General features: G+C 50.7%; 2 protein-coding genes and 1 long non-coding RNA gene across 10 annotated transcripts in view, besides 3 other annotated features; 2 read left to right on the top strand and 1 right to left on the bottom strand.

The window, feature by feature from the left end:
* The window catches only part of HNRNPL (heterogeneous nuclear ribonucleoprotein L), a 15,978-nt gene extending 12,349 nt beyond the window's left edge, over nt 1-3,629 (top strand). For all 7 annotated transcript variants that reach the window (XM_047438739.1, NM_001005335.2, XM_011526888.3 and 4 more), the window contains 5 exons: nt 984-1,105; nt 1,401-1,602; nt 2,348-2,405; nt 2,520-2,615; nt 3,219-3,629. In XM_047438739.1, coding sequence (XP_047294695.1) covers nt 984-1,105; nt 1,401-1,602; nt 2,348-2,405; nt 2,520-2,615; nt 3,219-3,277 — 537 coding nt within the window. In that variant the 3' untranslated portion in view covers nt 3,278-3,629. The remainder of the gene's footprint in view (nt 1-983; nt 1,106-1,400; nt 1,603-2,347; nt 2,406-2,519; nt 2,616-3,218) is intronic.
* Nucleotides 148-17,159, bottom strand: LOC124904712 (uncharacterized). Its single transcript, XR_007067252.1, has 2 exons — nt 16,602-17,159; nt 148-3,123 (listed from the first exon to the last, which is right to left on the bottom strand). It is a non-coding gene; the product is annotated as an uncharacterized LOC124904712 (long non-coding RNA).
* Nucleotides 8,157-8,306: an enhancer, noted in NCBI's record as "active region_14594". NCBI's record gives its function as "activates an Ori minimal core promoter by ATAC-STARR-seq in GM12878 lymphoblastoid cells {active_cell/tissue: GM12878}" and the evidence as "EXISTENCE:reporter gene assay evidence [ECO:0000049][PMID:35858748]".
* ECH1 (enoyl-CoA hydratase 1) lies at nt 8,205-24,577 on the top strand. 2 transcript variants are annotated; one of them, NM_001398.3, is made up of 10 exons: nt 8,205-8,278; nt 8,483-8,690; nt 8,833-8,921; nt 22,424-22,548; nt 22,635-22,683; nt 22,870-22,934; nt 23,476-23,546; nt 23,644-23,715; nt 23,992-24,142; nt 24,282-24,577. In NM_001398.3, the coding sequence occupies exons 1-10, from the start codon at nt 8,227-8,229 to the stop codon at nt 24,384-24,386; spliced, it is 987 nt and encodes a 328-aa protein (NP_001389.2). In that variant the 5' UTR covers nt 8,205-8,226; the 3' UTR covers nt 24,387-24,577. The 2 variants fall into 2 exon arrangements, with proteins under 2 accessions (NP_001389.2, XP_016881937.1); XM_017026448.2 differs by having other exon boundaries at nt 8,205-8,303.
* Nucleotides 15,269-15,826: an enhancer, noted in NCBI's record as "OCT4-NANOG hESC enhancer chr19:39314813-39315370 (GRCh37/hg19 assembly coordinates)". NCBI's record gives its function as "activates a minimal SCP1, AML or CMV promoter by ChIP-STARR-seq in naive and primed H9 embryonic stem cells {active_cell/tissue: H9 hESC(naive and primed)}" and the evidence as "EXISTENCE:reporter gene assay evidence [ECO:0000049][PMID:30033119]".
* Nucleotides 24,044-24,244: a silencer, noted in NCBI's record as "peak3474 fragment used in MPRA reporter construct". NCBI's record gives its function as "represses an SCP1 promoter by STARR-seq MPRAs in K562 erythroleukemia cells {active_cell/tissue: K562}" and the evidence as "EXISTENCE:reporter gene assay evidence [ECO:0000049][PMID:32103011]".

The following is a 24,577-nucleotide window of genomic DNA, read 5'->3' as shown; positions in this document are numbered from 1 at the left end:
CGGGCAGACGCCAATGAGTGACTCAGTGAGCTCAGGCAGCCTGCTTGCAGACGGGTTTTGTTTGGTCCTCACTGTATGTGGGTGTTGTGTTTTTGAATTACCAATGTTTAAAAAAAAGATTTTATCACATAAAAGTACTAATACCAGTACATGAACATAGAGATTTATAAAACATAAAAATGAATCCATTATAGTGAAACACCATCGTTTAAGGATTTCCTCCTGAAAACTTAAGACCTGGCAACACCGGGCCTTCTGCCTTCCCATGGGACAGTTGACTGGGGCTAGCGGTGGCTGAGTGTCTACCTGAGACCAGGCGGCATTTTGCTTAACATTAAACCCGTCTGGGTCTTGGGGGCCTTTGTGCAGCTCATGACTTGGCCCATTACTTAGAGTAGTTCGTAACACAGGTGAAGTGTTGTTAGTTACCAGGCACTGTTAAAGATGCTTTACATGTAGTGACCTGTGTAATTTCTCACATTAATCCTTAATGAGATGGACAGGGGAAGTGGAGGACGGGGCTTAAATAACGCGCCCAGGTTCACATAGCCTTTATGTGAAGCAGGACTCAGAGCCAGACTGCCTGGCTCCAGAGCCGGCACTGCTCTGTTGTAACCCAGCTGAAGGAGTATTTTACCTTGTGACTGTAGACACAGCCATCCATAGATCACACACGTCTGTGTGTAACAGACAAAATGGTGAAAATGGCTGATTTGATTTCTGATTCCTGTACAGTTTTCTGTCATGCTTCACTAAATGATTTACTGGTGGGTTATGTCCCACAGTTAAAAACATGGCCCAGGCTCTGCTTCTCACTATGGGTTGAGCACTTGGTGTGGGCCAGGCATGTTTTTCTAGTGGTCCCGATTAACTGTGAGGACATGGGAGGCCAGAGCAGGGGTTATTATCACTAACTTGGGAGGGGCAGGAGAGGGGACCCTGGCAGCTGGACAGAGGTGCTGACTGCAGCTACTCTCCCCAAGGTGAAATTCATGAAAAGCAAGCCGGGGGCCGCCATGGTGGAGATGGCTGATGGCTACGCTGTAGACCGGGCCATTACCCACCTCAACAACAACTTCATGTTTGGGCAGAAGCTGAATGTCTGGTAGGTGCTCAGGCTCGGGAGGGCAGCAGAGGTACAGGGGAGAGAAAAGGAGGGGAATGGGGCCCAGCAGAGGAGCACAGTGAGGCCGAGGTGTTGACTCACACAGAAATGGGATGTGGCAGGTGTGTTCCCAGACGTGTCTCTGACACCACAGGAGAAAGTGAGTCAGCCTTGCCTCAGGTGTAGAGCAATGCCCCAAGGCACACAGGGCAAGCTAAGCCTCTGGAGGCCACAGGGGAAAGCTTCAGGGACAACTTTGGGTATGACAAAGGCTCCCCTTTCTTCCTTGCTGCAGTGTCTCCAAGCAGCCAGCCATCATGCCTGGTCAGTCATACGGGTTGGAAGACGGGTCTTGCAGTTACAAAGACTTCAGTGAATCCCGGAACAATCGGTTCTCCACCCCAGAGCAGGCAGCCAAGAACCGCATCCAGCACCCCAGCAACGTGCTGCACTTCTTCAACGCCCCGCTGGAGGTGACCGAGGAGAACTTCTTTGAGGTGTGTGCCGTGGAGCTGCGCAGGCAGTCGGGTCCTTGCCACGGCCGTCTGAGTAGGCCATTCATTTCAGTCTTTTCTGCAAATAGCTGTTGAACTCCTGTCCTGCCTGGCCCTGGGTTGAGTGCTAGGGACACAGCAGAGGCCAGGACAGATAGGAATCTGTGCTCTCAAACTGGACAGGGTGAGAATGGCACCAAGTTTCTAGCAACACCATTTGCCGCGTTCCTTCCTTTTACATTTTTGGCAAGCAGGGCAACTGCTCGTTTGCTGGGAAAGCTGCTTCACAGGCCCAGTGATGAGGGCCCAATTTCACAAGAACCGCATTGGCGTAGGCTTCGGGTGCCATCACCCTGATACCATCAGAAGGTGGGGCCCTGTAAAGCTCAGTCAGGGGGAACTGAGGCAGCGGAAGGGAGGAGGAACTCAAGTGGATCTGGCTGTGGTCTGAAATGTTGACCTTGCATTCAGCAAACAGTGTTCAGCAAACAGCCGGGTGCAGATATCCACATAGCTGTTGAAGTTGGGAACGAAAAAGCAGCTTCCCAGTCTCAGGCAACTTAATAATTAAAGAGCATTGTTGCTGGCCTTTTTATGACACAGGGATGCCTTAGGGTATGTGATAAAATCTACAAGCCTTTTCTCCTGAAAACTTCAAGTACTGAGTCATGCAGGGCCTGGTCTGCTTGAATCCTGTGTGGCGGCCCTTTTGTTTCAGAGTTCATTTACTACCTGTTTTCTTTTGCAGATCTGCGATGAGCTGGGAGTGAAGCGGCCATCTTCTGTGAAAGTATTCTCAGGCAAAAGTGAGTCGAGTGTGCCCACCTCCTTGCCCTAATTGCATGGTGGTTGGTGGGCAGCTGCCTAGTTCCTATTGGGTGAGTCTAAAACCTTTACTTTTCCCCTTGGTTTGCAATCAGGTGAGCGCAGCTCCTCTGGACTGCTGGAGTGGGAATCCAAGAGCGATGCCCTGGAGACTCTGGGCTTCCTGAACCATTACCAGATGAAAAACCCAAGTGAGTATCTGTGTGTCCTGCAGGCATCAACCTGGTGACCTAATGGGTTGGCTGGCTTCAGGCCAGGGATGTCCTTCCTGCCCTTGAGATAGGACCCCGGGATCTTCGCACTGTTGGTGACACAGGCAGGTGGGACCTGCTCATCAGGAGAGCAGCCTGTGCTCCTCTTGGGAGAGCCAGCCTGACTGCCTGCTGCCACTCACTCTGCCAGCTTGGGAGTTGCTCAGGCTTGTCCTCCAGGGAGGTGGCATTCTCTTCTTTGCATCAGAGACTGGCTTAGGTAGGAAAGCCACTCTGTTACCTAGGAAAGAGGCAACACTATCCAGCAGGTAAAACTTGCCCACCCAGTTGCTGGGAGAGGCCCATTGCCTTGGGCTGGCGAAGGAGATAGGAATGGGATTCTCTATGGGAATGAAGGAAGAGAAGGAGAAACGCCGTGCATAATTGGTAATTGGCTCATCTTGAAGCCTCACGTTGGGCAGTCACTCCTTAGACCCCTGCCGTTGACCTGCAGAAAATGGGAGATGGGTACAAACTTGAGGGGACCTGGGTTTGGGGAGCCTCCAAAGACGGGAACCAACCAAACTTGTCTCTCCTTTGCAGATGGTCCATACCCTTACACTCTGAAGTTGTGTTTCTCCACTGCTCAGCACGCCTCCTAATTAGGTGCCTAGGAAGAGTCCCATCTGAGCAGGAAGACATTTCTCTTTCCTTTATGCCATTTTTTGTTTTTGTTATTTGCAAAAGATCTTGTATTCCTTTTTTTTTTTTTTTTTTTTTTTTTTAAATGCTAGGTTTGTAGAGGCTTACTTAACCTTAATGGAAACGCTGGAAATCTGCAGGGGGAGGGAGAGGGGAACTGTTATCTCCCAAGATTAACCTTCACTTTTAAAAAATTATTGTACATGTGATTTTTTTTTTTCCTGTTCATACATTTGTGCTGCCCATGTACTCTTGGCACATTTCAATAAAATTGTTTGGAAAATAAACACAGCACTTGCTGGGATTCCAGGATGTCTGCTTTTCTCCCTCTCTGTCCTGAAGACACAGGCAGGCCTGAGCACAGTCACAGGCCCTCTGGAGGCATACAGAGACCCAAGAGGAGCAGGGTGGGCTGCAGACTGAGAATGGTGCTAGCAATTGAGTCTTTGAGGAAAATCCATCAGGCTTAGTGGCATTCTTACTGGGCCCTGCCCGAGCAAGCTCTATCAGGCCCAGTGGGTCATCACACCTATAATTCCAGCAATCTGGGGAGGCCAAGGTGGGGCACATACTTTGAGCTCAGGAGTTGAAGACCAGCCTGGGCAGCATGGTGAAACGTCACTACAAAAAGGTGGGTTTGGTGGAACACCTGTAGTCCCAGCTACTCGGGAGGCTGAGGCAGGTGGGTCAGTTGAGCCTAGGAGGTTAACAGTGCAGTGATCACATCACTGCACTCCAACCTGGGTGACAATGAGACCCTATCTCAAAAAAAAAAAGGTTTCCAGCCTTGCCATCATGGTGAAACCCTGTCTCTACTAAAAATACAAAAATCAGCCGGGCATAGTGGCGCATGCCAGTAGTCCCAGCTACCTAGCAGGCTGAGGTGGATCACCCCAACCCTGGAGGGTGATGCTGCAGTGAACTGTGATGGGGTCATTGCACCCCAGCCTGGGCAACAGGGTGTCAAAAAAACCCAAAACCTTTGTGTTCTGTATCATTTCAGAGTGACTTGTCTTTACCCTTGCAGTATCATTGTGTGGATGTGTCATGATTTAACCTGGTCCCAAAGGGTAGTTTCCAGGTCTATTTTTGCTATTGCAAACAGCGCTGTAACACGTATCTACACAAGTATCTTGGCCAGCTTCCCTGATACTGATCAGGAGATAAATTCCTGCCAGTGGAATTGCTGGGTTAAAGGATATATATAGCTGGATGTAGTGGCCCATGCCTGTAATCCCAGCACTTTGGGAAGCCAAGGCAGGCAGATCACTTAAGGCCGGGAGTTTTGAGACCTGGGCAACATGGCAAAACCCTGTCTACAAAAAATAAGAAAGTGGGCCGGGCATGGTGGCTCACGCCTGTAATCCCAGCACTTTGGGAGGCCGAGGTGAGCGGAACACTTACGGTCAGGAGTTCGAGACCAGCCTGGCCAACATGGTGAAACCCTGTCTCTACTAAAAAAATAAAAATTAGCCGGGCATGGTGGCACGTTCCTGTAGTCACAGCTACTCAGGAGGCTGAGGCAGGAGAATCGCTGGAACCCAGGAGGCAGAGGTTGCAGTGAGCCGAGATTGTGCCATTGCACTCCAGCCTGAGTGACGAGAGTGAAACTCCGTCTCGAGAAAAAAATATATAGAAAAATGATGTGGGCATGGTGGCACACACTGTGCCTATAGTCCCAGCTACTCATGGGGGCTGAAGCAGGAGGATCACTTGAGCTGTGAGCTGTGATGGCACCACTATACTCCATCCTGGGCGAAAGGGCGAGACCATGTCTCAAAACTTAAAGGATCTATATAATTGCATCATACGGTAGATAGCTTCCCACTTGCAGATGCAAATCTGTGAAGATGCCTTGCGGTGGCGGGTACCACCCGGAAGGATCCTGGTTTAAGGATTTTGACTCCTACTGGAGGGAAGAGGTGACCTGCAGAGGAGCAGGTCACAAACCTTGAAGTTTATGCATGTGTGCTTGAGAATAGCCCACTCTGGGGAATTTACTGTGAATAAAATTTTCTTTTTTGAGATGGAGTCTTGCTCTGTCACCCAGGCTGGAGTGCAATGGCATAATCTTGGCTCACTGCAACCTCTGCCTCCTGGTTCAAGCAATTCTCCTGCCTCAGCCTCCCAAGTAGCTGGGATTACAGGCATGTGCCACCATGCCTGGCTGATTTTTGTATTTTTAGTAGAGATGGGGTTTCACCATATTGGCTAGGCTGGTCTCGAACTCCTGAGATCCACTGGCCTCGGCCTCCCAAAGTAGCTATGATACAGGCATGAGCCACTGCGCCCGGCCTTACATTTTTAACATTTAATGACATCACAAAAGCATCATTTGGCAGATGAACAAGTTTTGCTTCACTATGGGAAGTTTCAAACAATCTTTAGACAAGGAAAAACTACAGTCATCTTGCAGCCATAAATAAAATCAACTAGGGTTTATTGTTTTTAAGCCAGTCAAGGTGATAAAAAGTGAATTTTACCAGTTTGTCTCCTAGCATCCAATTTCATTTCCTGTTACCAGTTTGAGTCTCCTTCCAGAGATATTACATACATACACCATATTCTGTGCAGGTCCAGCTACACTCTTTTTTTTGAGACATTGTCTCACTCTGTCACCCAGGCTGAAGTGCTGGAGTGCAGTGGCATGAGGTCAGCTCACTGCAAACTCTGCCTCCTGGGTTGAAGCAATTCTCCTGCCTCAGCCTCCCAAGTAGCTGGGATTACAGGCACCTGCCACCACGCCCCGCTAATTTTTTTTTTTTTTTAGACAGAGTCTTGCTCTGTGGCCCAGGCTGGAGTGCAGTGGCGTGATCTCACATCAGTGCAAGCTCCGCCTCCTGGGTTCACGCCATTCTCCTGCCTCAGCCTCCCGAATAGCTGGGACTACAGGCGCCCGCCACCACGCCCGGCTAATTTTTGGTATTTTTAGTAGAGATGGGGTTTCACCGTGTTAGCCAGGATGGTCTCGATCTTCTCACCTTGTGATCCACCCGCCTTGGCCTCCCAAAGTGCTGGGATTAGAGGCATGAGCCAACACGCCTGGCTAATTTTTATATTTTTAATAGAGATTGGGTTTCACCATGTTGGCCATGCTGGTCTCAAACTCCTGACCTGAGGTGATCTGCCTGCCTGGGCCTCCTAAAGTGCTGGGATTACAGACCTGAGCCACCGCACCCAGCCCAGCTATACTTTCTTACACCAAAGGAACAAAGGATCATACTAAATGTTCTATTACATCTTCACATTTTTTTCTCACACATTTTTATTTTTGCATAGAGGTTTCAGAGTTTTCTATGGTATAAACAGTCTACTGTTGATGGGTAGTTAATGGTTCTGTCTTTCAAAAGAGCCTGCTTTTCTAGTCTGTGAAAACACACAGGAGACAGGTTCATTAAGGAAAGATACTTCCTTCAATCTCACTGGCCCAGAGACATCTGTTCACCGCCTTGCTCAATGTCTCCCCAAAAAGCATACTTAAGCAGTTTTACAGTACTTTTTTTTTTTATTTTTTTGAGATGGAGTTTCGCTCTGTCCCCAGGCTGGAGTGCAGTGGCGCCATCTCGGCTCCCTGCGAGCTCCGCCTCCGGGGTTCACGCCATTCTCCAGCCTCAGCCTCCCCAGTAGCTGGGGCTACAGACGCCCGCCACCATGCCCGCTAAGTTTTTGTATTTTTTTAGTAGGGACGGGGTTTCACTGTGTTAGCTAGGTCAGGAGGTCGATCTCCTGACCTCGTGATCTGCCCGCCACGGCCTCCCAAAGTGCTGGGATTACAGGCGTGAGCCACCGCGCCCGGCCAGCAGTTTTACAGTACTTTTTATGCCTTTTGGTAGCTGGCTTTTCCCAAGGGAATTTCGGTTTTTTTGTTTTGTTTGTTTTTTTTAAGAACATGAACTTTTTTTTCTTCTTTTTTTTTTTTTTGAGATCTTGCTCTGTCGCCCAGGCTGGGGTACAGTGGTGCCATCTCTGCTCATTGCAACCTCCGCCTCCTGGGCTCAAGCCATTCTCTTCCCGCTAGGATTACAGGTGCCGGACACCGCACCCGGCTAATTTTTGTATTTTTAGTAGAGACGGGGTTTCGCCATGTTGACCAGGCTGCTGTTGAACTCCTGACCTCAGGTGATCCGCCTGCCTCGGCCTCCCAAAGTGCTTGTATTACAGGCGTGAGCCACTGCGCCAGGCTAAGAACATGAACTCTGGTGCCAGGTAATCCTGCTTTAGCCCTTCTGAAGCCCACCGACCTTGAACCTAGTGTCTTCCCGTGCCTGGGCCAGTTTCCTCTGCATATAGTAGGAAATAGTACGACCTCCTGGTGGGAGTTCATATTATACAGTCAGCGCTTAATGTTGGCCCGTCTGTACTCATTCCTTTACCTGAGTAAACTCACAGTACTGCAAGTTTTCTTTTATTTTTAGTTAACATGATATATACATGCATGATTACAAGCTCTGCTGCAATTATGTCCTTGGACATTTCAGCTGTCGCCTATTATTCCACCATTATGAAACAGCTGTGTGATGAACTTTAGCGGGAGCTGTTTGCTTTTCTGTTTTTTTTTTTGTTTGTTTGTTTTGTTTTTTTTAAGACGGAGTGTCGCTCGGTCGCCAGGCTGGAGAGCAATGGCGCGATCTCGGCTCACTGCAAACTCCGCCTCCCAGGTTCACGCCATTGCAGGAGCTATTTTCTTTGGCCAGGTTCCCACTGGGGCAAAGGGTCCATTTCTGAGCCTGGCTCTATGTAAGGCAACCGGAAATCGACTGCCCTTAGTAAAGATGGCGGAAAGAACGGCGTCATTGCCTGTCAGGTTGCGGCATCGGTGCCCTCGCTCAACATGGCGGCCTTCTGTGCCCGCCCCCTCCGCTAACGGGCACGTTACTCCGTCCGAACGCAGTAGACGAAGGCGGCGGCGATGGCGGCGGGGATAGTGGCTTCTCGCAGACTCCGCGACCTACTGACCCGGCGTGAGTCACCTCTTGCCTTATGGGGGTGCGTCGCGCTGTCGTGCTGTTATAGCAGATGTAGGACGGGGAGGGCTATCCGGGGTCACGAAGGGCCCGAGTCCCCTAAATTCAGGGGTGCGTGTGCTCCCTTTTGAAGGACTCCCTAATTCGATAGGCCTGTGTCTTGCAGTCTGGGGTCATCAAAGGCTGTTCCTTTCTCCCCAGGACTGACAGGCTCCAACTACCCGGGACTCAGTATTAGCCTTCGCCTCACTGGCTCCTCTGCACAAGAGGAGGCTTCCGGAGTAGCCCTCGGTGAAGCCCCAGACCACAGCTATGAGTCCCTTCGTGTGACGTCTGCGCAGAAACATGTTCTGCATGTCCAGCTCAACCGGCCCAACAAGAGGAATGCCATGAACAAGGTCTTCTGGAGGTCTGACCTGCAGATCCTGGAGGCCTGCCTGCGGGGGGAGGCGGGGCTGCGGGACTGGGTGAAAGTGGAACGTTGTGGGAAGATGGACATGAGGGCAGGGTATTCCCGCCCCATTTGTAACCCTTCACTCGTTGCTTCACAGAGAGATGGTAGAGTGCTTCAACAAGATTTCGAGAGACGCTGACTGTCGGGCGGTGGTGATCTCTGGTGCAGGAAAAATGTTCACTGCAGGTACCAGACGCTCTTCACACACCCTGCCAGCCTTCCTAGCTCCTGGCAATAGACAGTGGAGCAGTGCTTCTGAATTAGGGTTTTAAGCAGCTTCTGACTTACACACTTTTTTTTTTTTTTTTTGAGACGGGGTCTTGCTCTGTTGCCACGCTGGAGTGCAGTAGCGCAATCTCAGCTCACTGCAACCTCCACCTCCCGGGTTCAAGCAATTCTTCTGTCTGGGACTACAGGCGTGGGCCACCACACCCAGCTAATTTTTGTATTTTTAGTAGAGACGGGGTTTCACCATATTGGCCAGGATGGTCTCCATCTCCTGACGTTATGATCTGCCTGCCTCAGCCTCCCAAAGTGCTGGGATTATAGGCCTGAACCATTGCTCCTGGCCCCTAACTCACACTTTTATCTGTGTGTTTTTTTTTTTTTTTTTGGAGACAATATCTTTCTCTGTCACCCAGGCTGGAGTACAGTTGCCTAATCATAAATCACTGTAACCTCAAATACCTGAGGTCAAGCGATTCTCCCACCTCAGCCTGCCAAAATGCTGGGATTACAGGCAGGTGCCACCATGGCCAGCCCTATCATTTTTTTAAAAAAAGGCCTACTTTAAAACATTCAAATATAAGTATTAGTCTGACAGAACACGATGGGATCATAGGCTCTGAAGTCTAGGTTTCCATCCTGGATCTGTGGCCATGAACAACATGCTTAACCTCTCAGCCTATAGCTGTGTCAGCATATAATATAATAACATGCTTTCGTGCAACTATTCAACTCACTAATTGATTTCCAGTTACAGGTCAGTTGGATCTTTGGATTGACCCACTGACCTTTTCTTCAGATTGGAGAATTTCCACTGGTCACAGTTACTAACTGTTTAGTCATCTCTATCCTTCTGTAAAGCCCATCCAGTGATTTATTTTGTTTTATTTTGTTTCAGACGGAGTTTTGCTTTTGTTGCAATGGTGCAATCTCAACTCACTGCAACCTCTGCTTCCTGGGTTCAAGTGATTCTCCTGCCACAGCCACCCAAGTAGCTGGGGTTACAAGTGCCCGCCACCACGCCCGGCTAATTTTTTGTGTTTCTAGTAGAGACGGAGTTTTACCATGTTGGCCAGGCTGGTCTTAAACTCCTGACCTCAGGTCATCCACCCACCTAGGGCCTCCCAAAGTGCTAGGATGATAGGCGTGAGCCACCGTGCCCAGCTACTACCCACTGATTTTAAATTTCAGATATTGTAGTTTTCTTTCTTTTTTTTTTTTTTCTGAGACAGAGTCGCTCTGTCACCCAGGCTGGAGTGCAGTGGTGCGATCTCGGCTCGCTGCAAGCTCTGCCTCCCGGGTTCAGGCCATTCTTCTGCCTCAGCCTCCCGAGTACTGGGACCACCAGTGCCTGCCACCACACCCAGCTAAGTTTTTGTGTTTTTAGTAGAAACGGGGTTTCACCGTGTTAGCCAGGATGGTCTCGATCTCCTGACCTCGTGATCTGCCCGCCTCGGCCTCCAAAAGTGCTGAGATTACAGGCGTGAGCTACCACGCCCAGCCCAGATATTGTAGTTTTCAATTCTCCAATTTCCATTTGGTTCATATTTTATTTTATTTTATTTATTCATTTATTTTGAGACAGAGTCTCGCTTTGTCACCCAGGCTGGAGTATAGTGATGCAATTTTGGCTCATTGCAACATCTGCCTCCTGGGTTGAAGCAATTCTCCTGCCTCAGCCTCCTGCATAGCTGGGATTACAGATGCCCGCCACCAGGCCTAGCTAATTTTTTTTTTTTTTTTTTTTTTTTTTGGAGAAGGAGTCTCACTCTGTTGACCAGGCTGGAGTACAGTGGTGCAGTCTGGGCTCACTGCAACCTCCACCTCCCAGATTCAAGCCATTCTCCTGCCTGAGCCTCCTGAGTACTTGTGATTACAGGCACCCGGCACCACGCCTGGCTAATTTTTATATTTTTAGTAGAGACGGGGTCTCACCATTTTGGCCAGGCGGGTCTTGAACTCCTGGCCTCCAGTGATCGGCCCCCCTCGGCCTCCCAAAGTGCTGGGATTACAGGCGTGAGCCACTGTGCCTGGTCAGTTGTATATTTTTTGTCATGCATGTTTTTCTTCCTGCCATTGAGCATAGTTATAATGACTGATTTAAAATCCTTGTCTTCTGGCCAGGTGTGGTGGCTCACGCCTGTAATCCCAGCACTTTGGGAGGTCGAGGCAGGCGGATCACGAGGTCAGGAGATCGAGACCATCCTGGCTAACATGGTGAAACCCCATCTCTACTAAAAATAAAAAAAAAGAATATTAGCCAGGCATGGTGGCGGGCACCTTTAGTCCCAGCTACTCGGGAGGCTGAGGCAGGAGAATGGCGTGAACCTGGGAGGCAGAGGTTGCAGTGAGCCGAGATGGCGCCACTGCACTCCAGCCTGGGTGACATAGCGAGACTCCCTCTAAAAACAAAATAAAAACAAAACAAAAACTCCTTATCTTCTAATCTCAACATCTGGGTCATCTTGGGGTCAGTCTCCTTATCATCTTTTCGCTTGGAAATGGCAGGCTGGGCTCAGTGGCTCATGCCTGTAATCCCAGCACTTTGGGAAGCTGAGGTGGGTGGATCACTTGAGGTCAGGAGTTCAAGACTAGCCTGGCCAACATGGTGAAACCCCGTCTGTACTAAAAATACAAAAATTTTCCCGGCGTGGTGGTGCATGCCTGTAATCCCAGCTGCTGGAGAGCCTGAGGCAGGAGAATCGCTTGAACCCAGGAGGCAGAGGTTGCAGTGAGCCTACATCACGCCATTGCACTCCAGCCTTGGTGACAAGAGCGAGACTCTGTCTCAAAAAAAAGAAAACGGCTTCACTTTCCTGTTTCTTTGTATTTTGAGTTAGTTTGGATTGTTTCTTGGATATTGGGATATAGGAATAAGATGTGGATACTCTGGATTCTATCATATAGTTCCAAAGAGTGTTGAGTTTCGTGTTTTGGTAGCTTAGTTGGAATTAGTTTTTTTGGTTTTTCTGTTTTTATTTTTATTTTTTTGTAGAGATGAGGTCTTGCTATGTTGCCCAGTCTGGTCTTCAACTCTTGAACTCAAGCGATCCTCCTGACTCGGCCTCCCAATGTGCTGGGACTACAAGCGTGAACCACTGTGCCTGGCTTCTTGCTGATTTACAGACCATACATGCACCCCCAGCAAAAGATTTAAAAACTAATCTTCAGCCAGGGCAACACACTGAGACCTTGTCTCTAACAAAAATTAGCTGGGTGTGATGAATGACCACACTCCCAGCTACTCTGGAGGCTGAGGTGGGAGGATGGCTCGAACCAGGGAGGTCAAAACTGCAGTGAGCTGTGGTCGTGCCACTGCACCCAGCCTGGGTGACAGTGCAAGAACCCATCTCAAAACAAAAACAACAACAAAAACATACATCTCCCAGCAAGAGATTAGGGCAGAGTTGATACACAGAATTCGGGACTCCTCGCTCTGGCTCTCCCCTCTTTGGAATATCCCCCCTCACTTCCCGGCAGCTTTGGTCACCTTGGACTCTATCCTGTGGCTCTTCAAGCACAATTTCAGTCTGCCCTCAGGCTGAAAGTTTTCAAAACCATTTTCAAAAACACCGAGAGAGTGTTCTGCCACTCTCCTAAGTGGTCACTCCCTCCAGAATCTGCCCAGTGCCTTCAGATAATTGTTTGTTTCTTGTCCAGCCAGCGTATGTAGTTGTCCGTGGGAGGGTTGGCCCTTTAGGACTGAACCAGAAGCAAAATATTTCATACACTGATTTCTGCACAGGGCCCAGAGCCTGGTGCTGGGAACCCAGTCTTGACTAGGACAGTCCCAGGCCCTGTTGTCATGGCGTTCCCAACTCAGTGGGGAAGACAGACAGTAAACTATTTCTTTCTGTTTTGTCCATTAACATATTCCCAGGTCCCTTTCTTTCTTTCCCTCCCCTTTCTCCCTCCCCTCCCTCCCTCTCCTCCCTTCCTCCTTCCCCTCCCTCCCTCTCCTCCCTTCCTCCTTCCCCTCCTTCCCCTCCTTCTCCCTCTCCTCCCTGTCCTCCCTCTCCATCCTTGCTGAGGGCCCTGGTCCCTCTGGCTAAGATTAGGCCTAGATATTTGACCTGCTGTAGGCAAAGCTGGGCCTTTGACCTAGACACCTTGTACCCTTGATTAGCGAGAAAGTTCAAGAGATCTAGAGTAGCCTGCTGGCTCGAGGCTTCTGAACTGGGAGCCAAAAGTAAATCATCCATATATTGAAGGACCAGAGTGCCTGGACTTGAGAAGTGGCCTAGATCTTGGGCCAGTGCCTGACCAAACAGATGAGGCCTATCCCTAAACCCTTGGGGCAAGACCGTCCACATAATTTGGGACGTGTGGTCTGTGGGATCCTCAAAGGCAAAGAGAAACTGGGAGTCAGAGTGTAGGGGAATACAGAAGAAGGCATCCTTGAGGTCTAGAACTGTGAACCATTCTGCTGCCTCTGTTATTTGAGAGAGCAGGGTATAGGTGTTGGTTACAGCTGGATATAGAGAAATTACTGCCTCATTGATGAGTCTAAGATCTTGCACTAGTCTCCACTGACCATTTAGTTTTTGTACTCCTAGAATTGGGGTGTTGTAGGGACTGCTGCATTTCCTTACTAAGCCTGGAGCTTTTAAATGTTTAACAATATTCTGTAATCGTTTATGAGCTTCAGGCTTTAAGGGATATTGCCTTTGATAAGGAAAAGCAGTGGGATCTTTTAACCTGATTTGTAATGGGCGGGCATTTTTTGCCCTTCCAAATTGTCCTTCCAATGCCCAGACTTCAGGGTTGATTCCCTCCACAAGTAGGGGGACAACAAATGGGTAACTTGTTCCCCATATTGATGTAGATAATAGCTCCAGCCTTGGCTAATATGTCCCTGCCTAATAAGGGTGTGGAACTTTCAGGCATAATAAGAAAGGCATGTGAAAAGAGCAAAGTCTCCCAATTACAACTGAGAGGTGGGAGAAATACCTGGTTACAGGCTGTCCCAGGATTCATCGGATGGTAACAGACCTTGAGGACAGTCGTCCAGGACAGGAGATTAACACTGAGAAGGCCGCGCCAGTGTCCAGGAGGAAGTCAGTTTCCTGGCCCTCAATGGTTAAACGTACCCGGGGCTCAGTGAGGGTGATGACATGAGCTGGCGCTTGCCCCGGGCACCCTCTGTCCTGTTGTTGGATCATCTGGTTGGGGGCTTCTGACCTAGGGAACCTTCGTCCGCTGGGGCAGTGCACCTTCCAGTGATTGCCTCGGCATAGTGGACATGGACGAGGGGGCAGCTTGTTTCTCATTGGACAATCTTTTTTAAAGTGTCCTAGTAAACCGCATGATAACAAGCCCTACCGGGTGATTGGCCTCTACTATCTGTCCTCTCTGAACCACTAAGGTTTGTTAGTCTGAGGGCCATAACTAAGGCTGCGGCCTTTCTCCAATCTCACTTTTCCTTTTGGGCCTGTTCCTCTTGGTCCCTATTATAGAACACTGAGGTTGCCAGGTTTTGATAATGCCTCCAAATTTTGTTCAGGGCCCAGGGCTTGCTTTTGGAGCTTTCTCCTGATATCTGCGGCTGATTGGATAATAAACTTATCTTTTAGAATCAATTGACCCTTGAGTGATTCGGGTGACCGGGGAGTATATTTTCTTAAGGCCTCCTATAGCTGCTCGAGGAAGGCAGAAGGATTTTCTTCCTTTCCCTGAGTTATGGTGGACATCATTGAATAATTCATGGGCTTTTTCTAATTCTCCTTAGTCCTTCTAGAACACAGGTCAACAGATGTTTACGACTCCAGTCCCCATGATCTAAGTCAAGGTCCCAGTGGGGATCCATACTGGGGATGGCTTGCTGACCGATAGGGAATTTGTCCCTTTCTTCAGGTGTCATTCTATCATTTACTTGATTAAGATTCCAGGTATCTCCAAACTCTCAGGCTGCAGCTAAAGCTGCATTCTTTTCATTAAAGGCCAGGGTTTGATCTAACAGTAGCATGACATCTCTCCAAGCGAGGTCGAAAGTTTGCCCTAGACCCTGTAGGGCATGTATGTACCTATCAGGATCATCTGAAAACTTCCCCAGGTCTGCCTTGATCTGCTTTAAATCAGAGATGGAGAAGGGGACATGTACCCGGGTGGGACCAAATTCCCCTCCCCCTACAGCTTGAAGGGGACATAACCAATAGCCAGGAGGGTTTTGTGGTCCTTTGGAGATTTCTTTGCATATTTCCTTCTGGGCAGGGGAGATTAGAGGAAGATTATCATTAATAGGAATGGGAGCTATAGGGAGGCTAGGATATGGTGGTAAGCTGAGAGGTCCTCCTGTGGGATGTAAATTGTAAGCTTTGCATAGTTGTGTATTCTCCCTCCATGAAAAGAAAGCTTGGACATAAGGTATTTCACTCCATTTGCCTTCCCTCTTACAGAAAAGGTCAAGCTGCAGGATAGTATTGTAATTTGTACTTCCCTCAGGTGGCCATTTTTCCCCATCAGAGAGAGAATACTGGGGCCAGGCCATAGTGCAGAAAAAAAATGAGCCTCCTCTTTTTCAGGGTTTATGGGTCAAATTGGTCCCAACGGCTTAGGATGCATTTCAAGGGTGAGCCTGTTGATGGCTGAATGTTTCCCATCTGAAAGACAAAACCACCCGCGGTTTTGGTTTGTTTTGTTTCTCCCCCTGCCCAAGAAACTGCAACAGTCCCTGTACCCTGCTGATCGGAATAGTTGTGCTCATCAACGCAGCAGCAGAAACACTAGTTTTCCTCTCAGACCACATGGAGGACCAAGGAAGGTCGGATTTAGTGGCCCTTACCGACGCATTCTTGAAAACCTGTTAGAGTTCTAAGCATTCTCCTGTTAGTATTGGGACTTTACCCCTGTCCTATAAAGATGTTATGCCCCAAAAATGAAGTGGAGGGCCATACCCTGAGGGAGGGAAGGGATCTCCAGGGTTGGAAGAGTGACACCTTTTGTCCTCACTTATATGAATAGGAAAGCTACAATTTCTGAGGCTCCCCATATCCTAGCTTCAGGAATACCTTTGTTAGGCCTGTTAGTCTGAGGAGGGATCGTAAAATTCCAGGTAGTCGCCACTATGACAGGGCTTTGGGCAAAAATTATGTCTTTCTGATTGGTGAGCCTGGGTGCCTAAAGAATGTAACAGAGTTCTAGAAGTCGTTCTTATAGGAGAAACTAGAAAAGCACCAGAGACAGCAAATTTTAGAAGCAGGACTAAACTCGGAGAAGAGAGGTGAGAGGAAGTTTGTCTGGCAGGCATTAGGACCCGGGGGCAAGAGTCAGGATAGATAGGATAGATGGGCGAGTCTCGCTTGGGCGACATGCCTTTGAGTGTTCCGCTCATGGCTGCAGGGTCAACGAACTTGTTGTCTTGTCGGGACCCTAGAGCTGCATGGCTTTCCTCTCTGTCGACCCTCGGCTCAGCCCAGAAGTACAGGAAAAGCAGAAGCTGGTTCTAGGCAAACCAACGCTCCCAACTCCAAAGAGTCGGGAGTTGTTAGAGAGCCCTTTCCCAGAAAGCCTGACACCCATGTCTTTAGTCCAGCGGCCATGCTAGTCACTTTTAACTGGCAGACAGGTGCCTGGTATTTAGCCCCCAAATTCTAAGGAAAAATAGGACAGAATAGCAAGTGAAAGGGGTCCAGTGGTACTCACTGCTTGGCGATAGGTGATAGTCTCACCGCTCAGCGATAGGCAGTGGTCTCACCGCTTGGCGATAGGTAATAGTCCCATCTGGGTCACCAAAATGTATCCGGAATTGGTGGGTTCTTGGTCTCACTGACTTCAAGAATGAAGCCGCAGAATCTCGTGGTGAGTGTTACAGTTCTTAAAGGCGGCATGTCCGCAGTTTGTTCCTTCTGATGTGTTCGGAGTTTGTTCCTTCTGATGTTTGGGTGTGTTCAGAGTTTCTTCCTTCTGGTGGGTTCGTGGTCTCGCTGGCTTCAGGAATGAAGCTGCAGACCTTCGCAGTGAGTGTTATAGCTCTTAAGGCGGTGCGTCCAGAGTGGTTCGTTCCTCCCGTCCGGAGTTGTTCATTCCTCCCAGTGGGTTCGTGGTCTTGCTGGCCTCTGGAGAGAAGTTGCAGACCTTCGCGGTGAGTGTTATGGCTCATAAAGGCAGTGTGGACCCAAAGAGTGAGCAGCAGCAAGATTTATTGCAAAGAGCAAAAGAACAGAGCTTCCATAGCATGGAAGGGGACGTGAGTGGGTTGCCACTGCTGGCTCGGACAGCCTGCTTTTATTCCCTTATCTGTCCCCACCCACATCCTGCTGGTTGGTCCGTTTTACAGAGAGCTGATTGGTCTGTTTTACAGAGAGCTGATTGGTCCATTTTGACAGGGTGCTGACTGGTGCGTTTACAATCCCTGAGCTAGACACAAAACTTCTCCAAGTCCCCACTAGATTAGCTAGACACAGAGCACTGATTGGTGCATTTACAAACCTTGAGCTAGACACAGGGTGCTGATTGGTGTATTTACAAACCTTGAGCTAGACACACAGTGCTGATTGGTGTATTTACAATCCCTTAGCTAGACATAAAGATTCTCCAAGTCCCCACCAGATTAGCTAGATACAGAGTGCTGATTGGTGCATTTACAAACCTTGAGCTAGACATAGGGTGCTGATTGGTGCATTTACAAACCTTGAGCTAGACACAGAGTGCTGATTGGTTGTTTACAATCCCTTAGCTAGACATAAAGAGTCTCCAAGTCCCCACCAGATTAGCTAGATACAGAGTGCTGATTGGTGCATTTACAAACCTTGAGCTAGACACAGGGTGCTGATTGGTGCATTTACAAACCTTGAGCTAGACACAGAGTGCTGATTGGTTGTTTACAATCCCTTAGCTAGACATAAAGTTTCTCCAAGTCCCCACCAGATGAGCTAGACACAGAGCATTGATTGGTGCATTTACAAACCTTGAGCTAGACACAGGGTGCTGATTGGTGCATTTACAAACCTTGAGCTAGAAACAGAGTGCTGATTGGTGTATTTACAATCCCTTAGCTAGACATAAACGTTCTCCAAGTCCCCACCAGATTAGCTAGATACAGAGTGCTGATTGGTGCATTTACAGTCCCTCAGCTAGACATAAATGTTCTCCAAATCCCCACTAGACTCAGGAGCTCAGCTGGCTTCACCCAGTGGATCCTGCACCAGGGCCGCAGGCGGAGCACTCCTCAGCCCTTGGGCAGTTGATGGGACCAGGCGCCGCCGAGCAGGGGGTGGCGCTCCTCGGGGAGGCTCGGGCTGTGCAGGAGCCCACGGCGGCGGGGGGAGGCTCGGGCATGGCAGGCTGCAGGTCCCAAGCCCTGCCCCACAGGGAGGCAGCTGAGGCCCGGCAAGTATTCGAGTGCAGCACCAGCGGGCCGGCACTGCTGGGGGACCCGGTGTACCCTCCGCAGCTGCTGGCCCAGGTGCTAAGCCCCTCACTGCTCAGGGCAGGTGGCGCCGGCCCACCACTCCGAGTGCGGGGTCGCCGAGCTCACACCCACCCGGAACTTGCGCTGGCCGGAGAGCACTGCGTGCAGCCTGGGTTCCCGCCCGCGCCTCTCCCTCCACACCTCCCTGCAAGCAGAGGGAGCCGGCTCCGATCTTGGCCAGCCCAGAGAGGGGCTCCCATAGTGCAGCAGCAGGCTGAAGGGCTCCTCAAGCATGGCCAGAGTGGGCTCTGAGGCCAGCGAGCAAGGGCTGCCAGCATGCTGTCACCTCTCACTTCCTTCTCTCTCTCTTTCTTTCATTTTTGAGACAGGGTCTCCCTCTGTCACCCAGGCTGGAATGCAGTGGAGCAATCTCAGCTCACTGCAGCCTCCACCTCCTGAGCTCAACCCCTCCCACCTCAGCCCCTACCACCTCCCCTCATCCTCCCACTTCAGCCCCTCAAGTAGCTGGGACCACAGGTGTGCACCACCATGCACAGCAAGTTTTTTCACTTTTTGTAGAGGCAGGGCTTGCTATGTTGCCCAGGCTGGTCTCGAACCCCTGATCTAAAGCGATCCTCCTGCCTCAGCCTCCCAAAGTGCTGGGATCACAGGCATGAGCCACCGCACCCAGCCTCCTGCTTTCTTTCTGCATCTCCCTCTGTTCCTCCTCTTGTTCATTTGTTCATTCATTTGACAAACATTCAGTGACACAGTCCAGTGCCAGAGCCCCCTCCTGGGTGCTGCAGATGTGGAAACGGGAAGCAGCCCCGATTCCTGACCCCTTGCTCTCATAGAGATCATGTCTGAGAACAGAAAAATGGGGCTTTTTTGTGGCTGTGCCGGGCCCAGGTCCTTCATCTTTCAGCTCCCAGCTGAATGTGGCCGTCTTATCTTATTTTCAGCAGCAAGACCCCGAAGGCCAGAAGGAAGAAACGGCAGGTCATGCAGTGACCCAGTGATAGAGTAGAACTACTAATTAGAGAAAGAAAAAGGTGGCCACAATTATGTAGCACTCATGGTGTGTGACGCCCCTTTCTAAGCACGTTAAACATATTAATTCTAATCACAGTCCACAAGACAGGTTCTGCTATAAGCCCCATTTAAAGGTGAAACAGATCCAGAGAGCAAGAAACTTACCCAATAATCACAGCTTGTAAGTGGCAGAGCTGGGATTTTGGAACTCATGCTGCCTGGCTATAGAGTCCTTGCTCTTAGCTGCTAAATGTCTGTCATCTGAGTAGCTGGCATGCTGGTTAAAAGTAAGGGGGATTGCCGGGCGCCGTGGCTCACACCTGTAATCCCAGCACTTTGGGAGGCTGAGGCAGGCGGATCACGAGGTCAGGAAATGGAGACTATCCTGGCTAACACAGTGAAACCCCGTCTCTACTAAAAATGTAAAAAATTAGCCGGGCATGGTGGCAGGCGCCTGTAGTCCCAGCTACTAGGGAGGCTGAGGCAGGAGAATGGCGTGAACCCAGGAGGCGGAGCTTGCAGTGAGCCGAGATCGCGCCACTACACGCCAGCCTGGGCGATAGAGTGAGACTACATCTCAAAAAAAAAAAAAAAAAAAAAAAAAGTAAGGGGGACTTTGGCCTCAGGCTGTGATCTGGATCCTATTTCCACTTGTCTTTTCACCTCTCTGTCCTGCCATTTTCTTTTCTTTTTATTTTTTATTTTTGAGCCAGGGTCTTGCTCTGTCGCCCAGGCTGGAGTGCAGTGGCGCGATCATAGCTGACCGCAGCCTGCAACTCCTGGGCTCAAACGATCCGCCCACCTCAGCCTCCGAAAGTGCTGGGATTACAGGTGACCATGCCCAGCCTCATGTGCAGCTAATTTTTTCATTGTTTGTAGAGAAGAGGTCTTGCAATGTTGCCCAGGCTGTTCTCAAAATCTTAGCCTCAAGCCATCCTCCTGCCTCTGCCTTCCAAAGTGCTGGGATTGCAGGTGTGAGCCACTACGCCCAGCCCCAAAATATACTTTTTTATTCATTTGTTTGCCTCCCCATGAGGACAGGGACTGTTGTCTGTATTGATCATTTATTGAGCAGCTCGTGTGCGCCAGGCCCTGTGCTAGGCCCAGGGGATGCAGCAGTGGACAGAAAGACAAAAACTCCTGTGTTCTCAGAGCTCACATTCTAGAAAGGGAGTCAGACCCTCAAGCAGATAAGGACCTAATTATAGGATAGCAGCTGTGCAGCCCGGAGGTAAGGCGGGGTCAGGATGCGGGGGATGGGGCCATCGTTGAGCCAGGTTGGCCAGGGAGGGCCTCTCTAGGAGGTGACCTTTGAGCTATAGCTGAAGGAAGTGAAGGAGTCAGTCTGTGGCTGTTGAAGAGGGAGGGATGGTTGTCAGCCCAAAGGTCCTTGGCTCCCTCCCTCTCCTCTGGGTCTTTACTCAAGGTCACCTTCTCAATGAGAAGATTCTGTACCACTGCACAGCCCTCAGGCAGTGATCTGGATCCTATTTCCACTTGTCTTTTCACCTCTCTGTCCTGCCATTTTCTTTTCTTTTTATTTTTTATTTTTGAGCCAGGGTCTTGCTCTGTCGCCCAGGCTGGAGTGCAGTGGTGCGATCATAGCTGACCGCAGCCTCCAACTCCTGGGCTCAAATGCACGTGCCCGCACACACACACACACACACACACACACACACAGAGTTGGAGACCAGTGTGCCCAAAGTAACAGGTTGGGAACAGTGCACACACACACACACACACACACACACACACAGAGTTGGAGGCCAGTGTGCCCAAAGTAACAGGTTGGGAACAGTGTTCATGCAGGGTAGTCATGACAAGGACGTTCCATTTTGTTCTAAGAGCCACAGGTGGGAAAAAGAGGGTCTGGGCCGGGCACGGTGGCTCACGCCTGTAATCCCAGCACTTTGGGAGGCCGAGGTGGGTGGATCACAAGGTCAGGAGTTTGAGACTAGCCTGGCCAACATGGCAAAACCCCGTCTCTACTAAAAATACAAAAATTAGCCGGGCATGGTGGTGGGCGCCTGTAATCCCAGCTACTTGGGAGGCTGAGGTAGGAGAATCACTTGAACCGGGAGGCGGAGGTTGCATTGAGCCGAGATCCTGCCACTGCACTCCAGCCTGGGCGACAAGAGCGAGACTCTGTCTGAAATAAAAAAAATAAAATAAAAAAAAAGAGGATCTGACCCAAGAAGGTGTCCACTGGCTTCCCCTGGCTGCCTGTAGGGAATAGACTGGGGACACAGGTGGAAACAGGGAGAGCAGGGTGGGCTCATGGAGAACAACTGATGCAGGAAAGGTCAGATTCAGGATCATCTTGAAGTTGGAGCCACAGAAATTGCTGCATCGTGAGATGTTTCTCATCTCAGGAAACATCACCACCATTGACTGCATTGCTCACGCTGCAGACCTTGAGTCCCAGGCTGTCTGGCATCTTGGGGAAAAGCATGGCCTCTGGAGCCAGCTGCATGGTTCCAGATTTTAAAATCCTACTTCTGATGCGGCATGGTGGCTCACACGTGTAATCCCAGTGCTTTGGGATGCCAAGGTGGGAGGATCGCTTGAGCCCAGGAGTTCAAGAGCAGCCTCGGCACAGTCCCAGCCACTCAGGAGGCTGAGGTGGGAGGATTGCTTGAACCTGGGAGTTCGAGGCTGCAGTGAGCCATGATCGTGCCACTGCACTCTAGCTGGTATAACAGAGTGAGACCCTGTCTCTAAAAACATTAATGAGTTAATTTAAATAGTTCATTACTCACTACTCACCAGCCAGTGTGACCCCCTTGGGCAAGTGCTTAACCTCTCTGTGCCTTAGTTTACCCATTGGTAACACAAATAGTAATAGGACCTAGCTGGTACGGTTGCTGTGAGGATTCTGTGAGTAATGACTCCACAAATATTAGCTTTTATTTCCTTCCCACCCAACATGCAATCAATCCCTCACCAAGTCCTGTGTGAGTTGTTTTTTTTCCGCCTTGGTGGTTTGGGGGTTCGAACCTGCTGTGCCTGGGTTCTGATCCCTGGTTGAGTCAATGGGTGGGGCCTGGGAGCCTGGATGAGCTCCATCATGCCTTCTCACCAGGTATTGACCTGATGGACATGGCTTCGGACATCCTGCAGCCCAAAGGAGATGATGTGGCCCGGATCAGCTGGTACCTCCGTGACATCATCACTCGATACCAGGAGACCTTCAACGTCATCGAGAGGGTGACTCTAGGGGTCTGGAGGGGATCTTTCTCCATACGCGCCTCCCCTGGGCCAGCCCTGACCCCACTCTTCCTGTTCCCTCTCAGTGCCCCAAGCCCGTGATTGCTGCCGTCCATGGGGGCTGCATTGGCGGAGGTGAGTCTGCGGCTATCCTCCTGCTCGGGTGCTCCCCAGGTGGGGCTGCTGCTCCGATGCCGCGGCCACTGGCATCCAGCCTCAGCTCTGTCATGGGCCAGACTGTGTCCCAAGAGGCAGCCCCACCTCCCGGGAGCCAGGGTTGGTTCTGGTGGTCATTCAGCATCCCTGGCCTCTACCTCCTAGGTGTGGACCTTGTCACCGCCTGTGACATCCGGTACTGTGCCCAGGATGCTTTCTTCCAGGTGAAGGTGAGTCATCCTCCCGAGCTCCTGCTTAGAGCTGGGCAGTGGGGTGAGGTTGGGGGGCCTGGAGTGAGCCTCGAGGGCTTCATGGAAGAGTCGGAGTTGAACCCGACAAAGTAAGACTTGCCCATAGAGGAAGTCAAGAGGTGAAGTTGTGAGTGGGTAAGGTATGAGGTGGGGTTGAGGCTGGCAGGTGTCAGAGGCAGAGATTGCTCCTGGGGCCATACTGGTGAGGGTGGGAGGCAGGATGGAGCCGGGGGATGCAGTAAAGGGGTCTCAGGTAGGGTGAGGAGGGTTCCTCTCTCACAGATGGAGCTGCCCTGAGGGAATGGGAGGGTGCATGAGTGGGAAGGTGGGCTCTATTCTAGGTTGAAGGAACTTGCCTGAGTCAAGAAGCTGCCTGGGCAATGGAATGGGACTTTGGAGGAAGTCACTGGGGTGAAGGTGGGGCGGGACTCTCCAGTAGACATGAAATTTCATGGACGTTGACATTGCGAGGGGCACAGTATTGGGCAGAAACCAAACACTGACCCGATTCCTCCCCCAGGAGGTGGACGTGGGTTTGGCTGCCGATGTAGGAACACTGCAGCGCCTGCCCAAGGTCATCGGGAACCAGAGGTGGGTGCAGGGGGTGTGGGGGTGTGGGCAGGAGACCCCAGAGCATCTCCCAGCCCCGGGGTGGCAGCCGCCTCCTGATGCACGCTTGCCTTTGCAGCCTGGTCAACGAGCTGGCCTTCACCGCCCGCAAGATGATGGCTGACGAGGCCCTGGGCAGTGGGCTGGTCAGGTAGGGCCATGGCCGTGGTAGCTCAGTGCTGGGGGCAGCCAGGCCTGGAGGGTTGGAGGCCTCTCCGGGTCCCCTTGTCTCCTCGCTCTAGAATTCCTAGTGGCATCCTTTCTTGGTGAGCTCATTTCTTTATTGTGGGGTCAGCCCCCTGCTCTGATTGGGCTGTTTCTCTGGGGTCTTGGGCCTTCCTCTGTGAGTGGCCACTTCTTCATCTGCGGGAGGCTGGAGGAGAGAGCCCTTCCCAGCCCACCCGGTCCCTGATCTCTTTCACTGCAGCCGGGTGTTCCCAGACAAAGAGGTCATGCTGGATGCTGCCTTAGCGCTGGCGGCCGAGATTTCCAGCAAGAGCCCCGTGGCGGTGCAGAGCACCAAGGTCAACCTGCTGTATTCCCGCGACCATTCGGTGGCCGAGAGCCTCAACTACGTGGTAAGGTGCACGCTCCGACCAATCACAGCCCTCCTCTAACCCCAGGCGACCAACCAGGGTGCAGGGTGCTCTCATGCTTTATCCTGATTGGCCCCTGCTAATCTCTCTCCTCGTTCTCTCTCAACACCCTCGGTACCAGGCGTCCTGGAACATGAGCATGCTGCAGACCCAAGACCTCGTGAAGTCGGTCCAGGCCACGACTGAGAACAAGGAACTGAAAACCGTCACCTTCTCCAAGCTCTGAGAGCCCTCGCGTCCCAGGCCCCAGCCAGGGGGCCGGCCTTGTCCCGCCTCATCCACAGAAAGGGAGGATGGGCGATGACAGTTGTTTCTATGCCTTCTGACCCAGTTTCCCAGTTTATAACTTTATGACAATGAGTTTCTCAAGCCCAAGGCCTTATCTTCACCCCACAAACAATAAAGCAAAGTAAAGAA

The sequence above is a fragment of the Homo sapiens genome, chromosome 19, assembly GCF_000001405.40.
Source record: "Homo sapiens chromosome 19, GRCh38.p14 Primary Assembly".
Classification (NCBI taxonomy): domain Eukaryota; kingdom Metazoa; phylum Chordata; class Mammalia; order Primates; family Hominidae; genus Homo; species Homo sapiens.
The sequence above is the reverse complement of the archived record's forward strand: the minus strand, read 5'-3'. Positions and strand labels throughout refer to the sequence as shown.

What these genes read in the sequence shown, in the direction of transcription:
- ECH1 (NM_001398.3), top strand. Translation starts at nt 8,227, where the DNA reads ATGGCGGCGGGGATAGTGGCTTCTCGCAGACTCCGCGACCTACTGACC. An exon ending in CCGCGACCTACTGACCCGGC is followed by an intron (nt 8,279 to 8,482) that starts GTGAGTCACCTC and finishes CTTTCTCCCCAG; the next exon opens with GACTGACAGGCTCCAACTAC. An exon ending in CTGGGCAGTGGGCTGGTCAG is followed by an intron (nt 23,716 to 23,991) that starts GTAGGGCCATGG and finishes CTTTCACTGCAG; the next exon opens with CCGGGTGTTCCCAGACAAAG.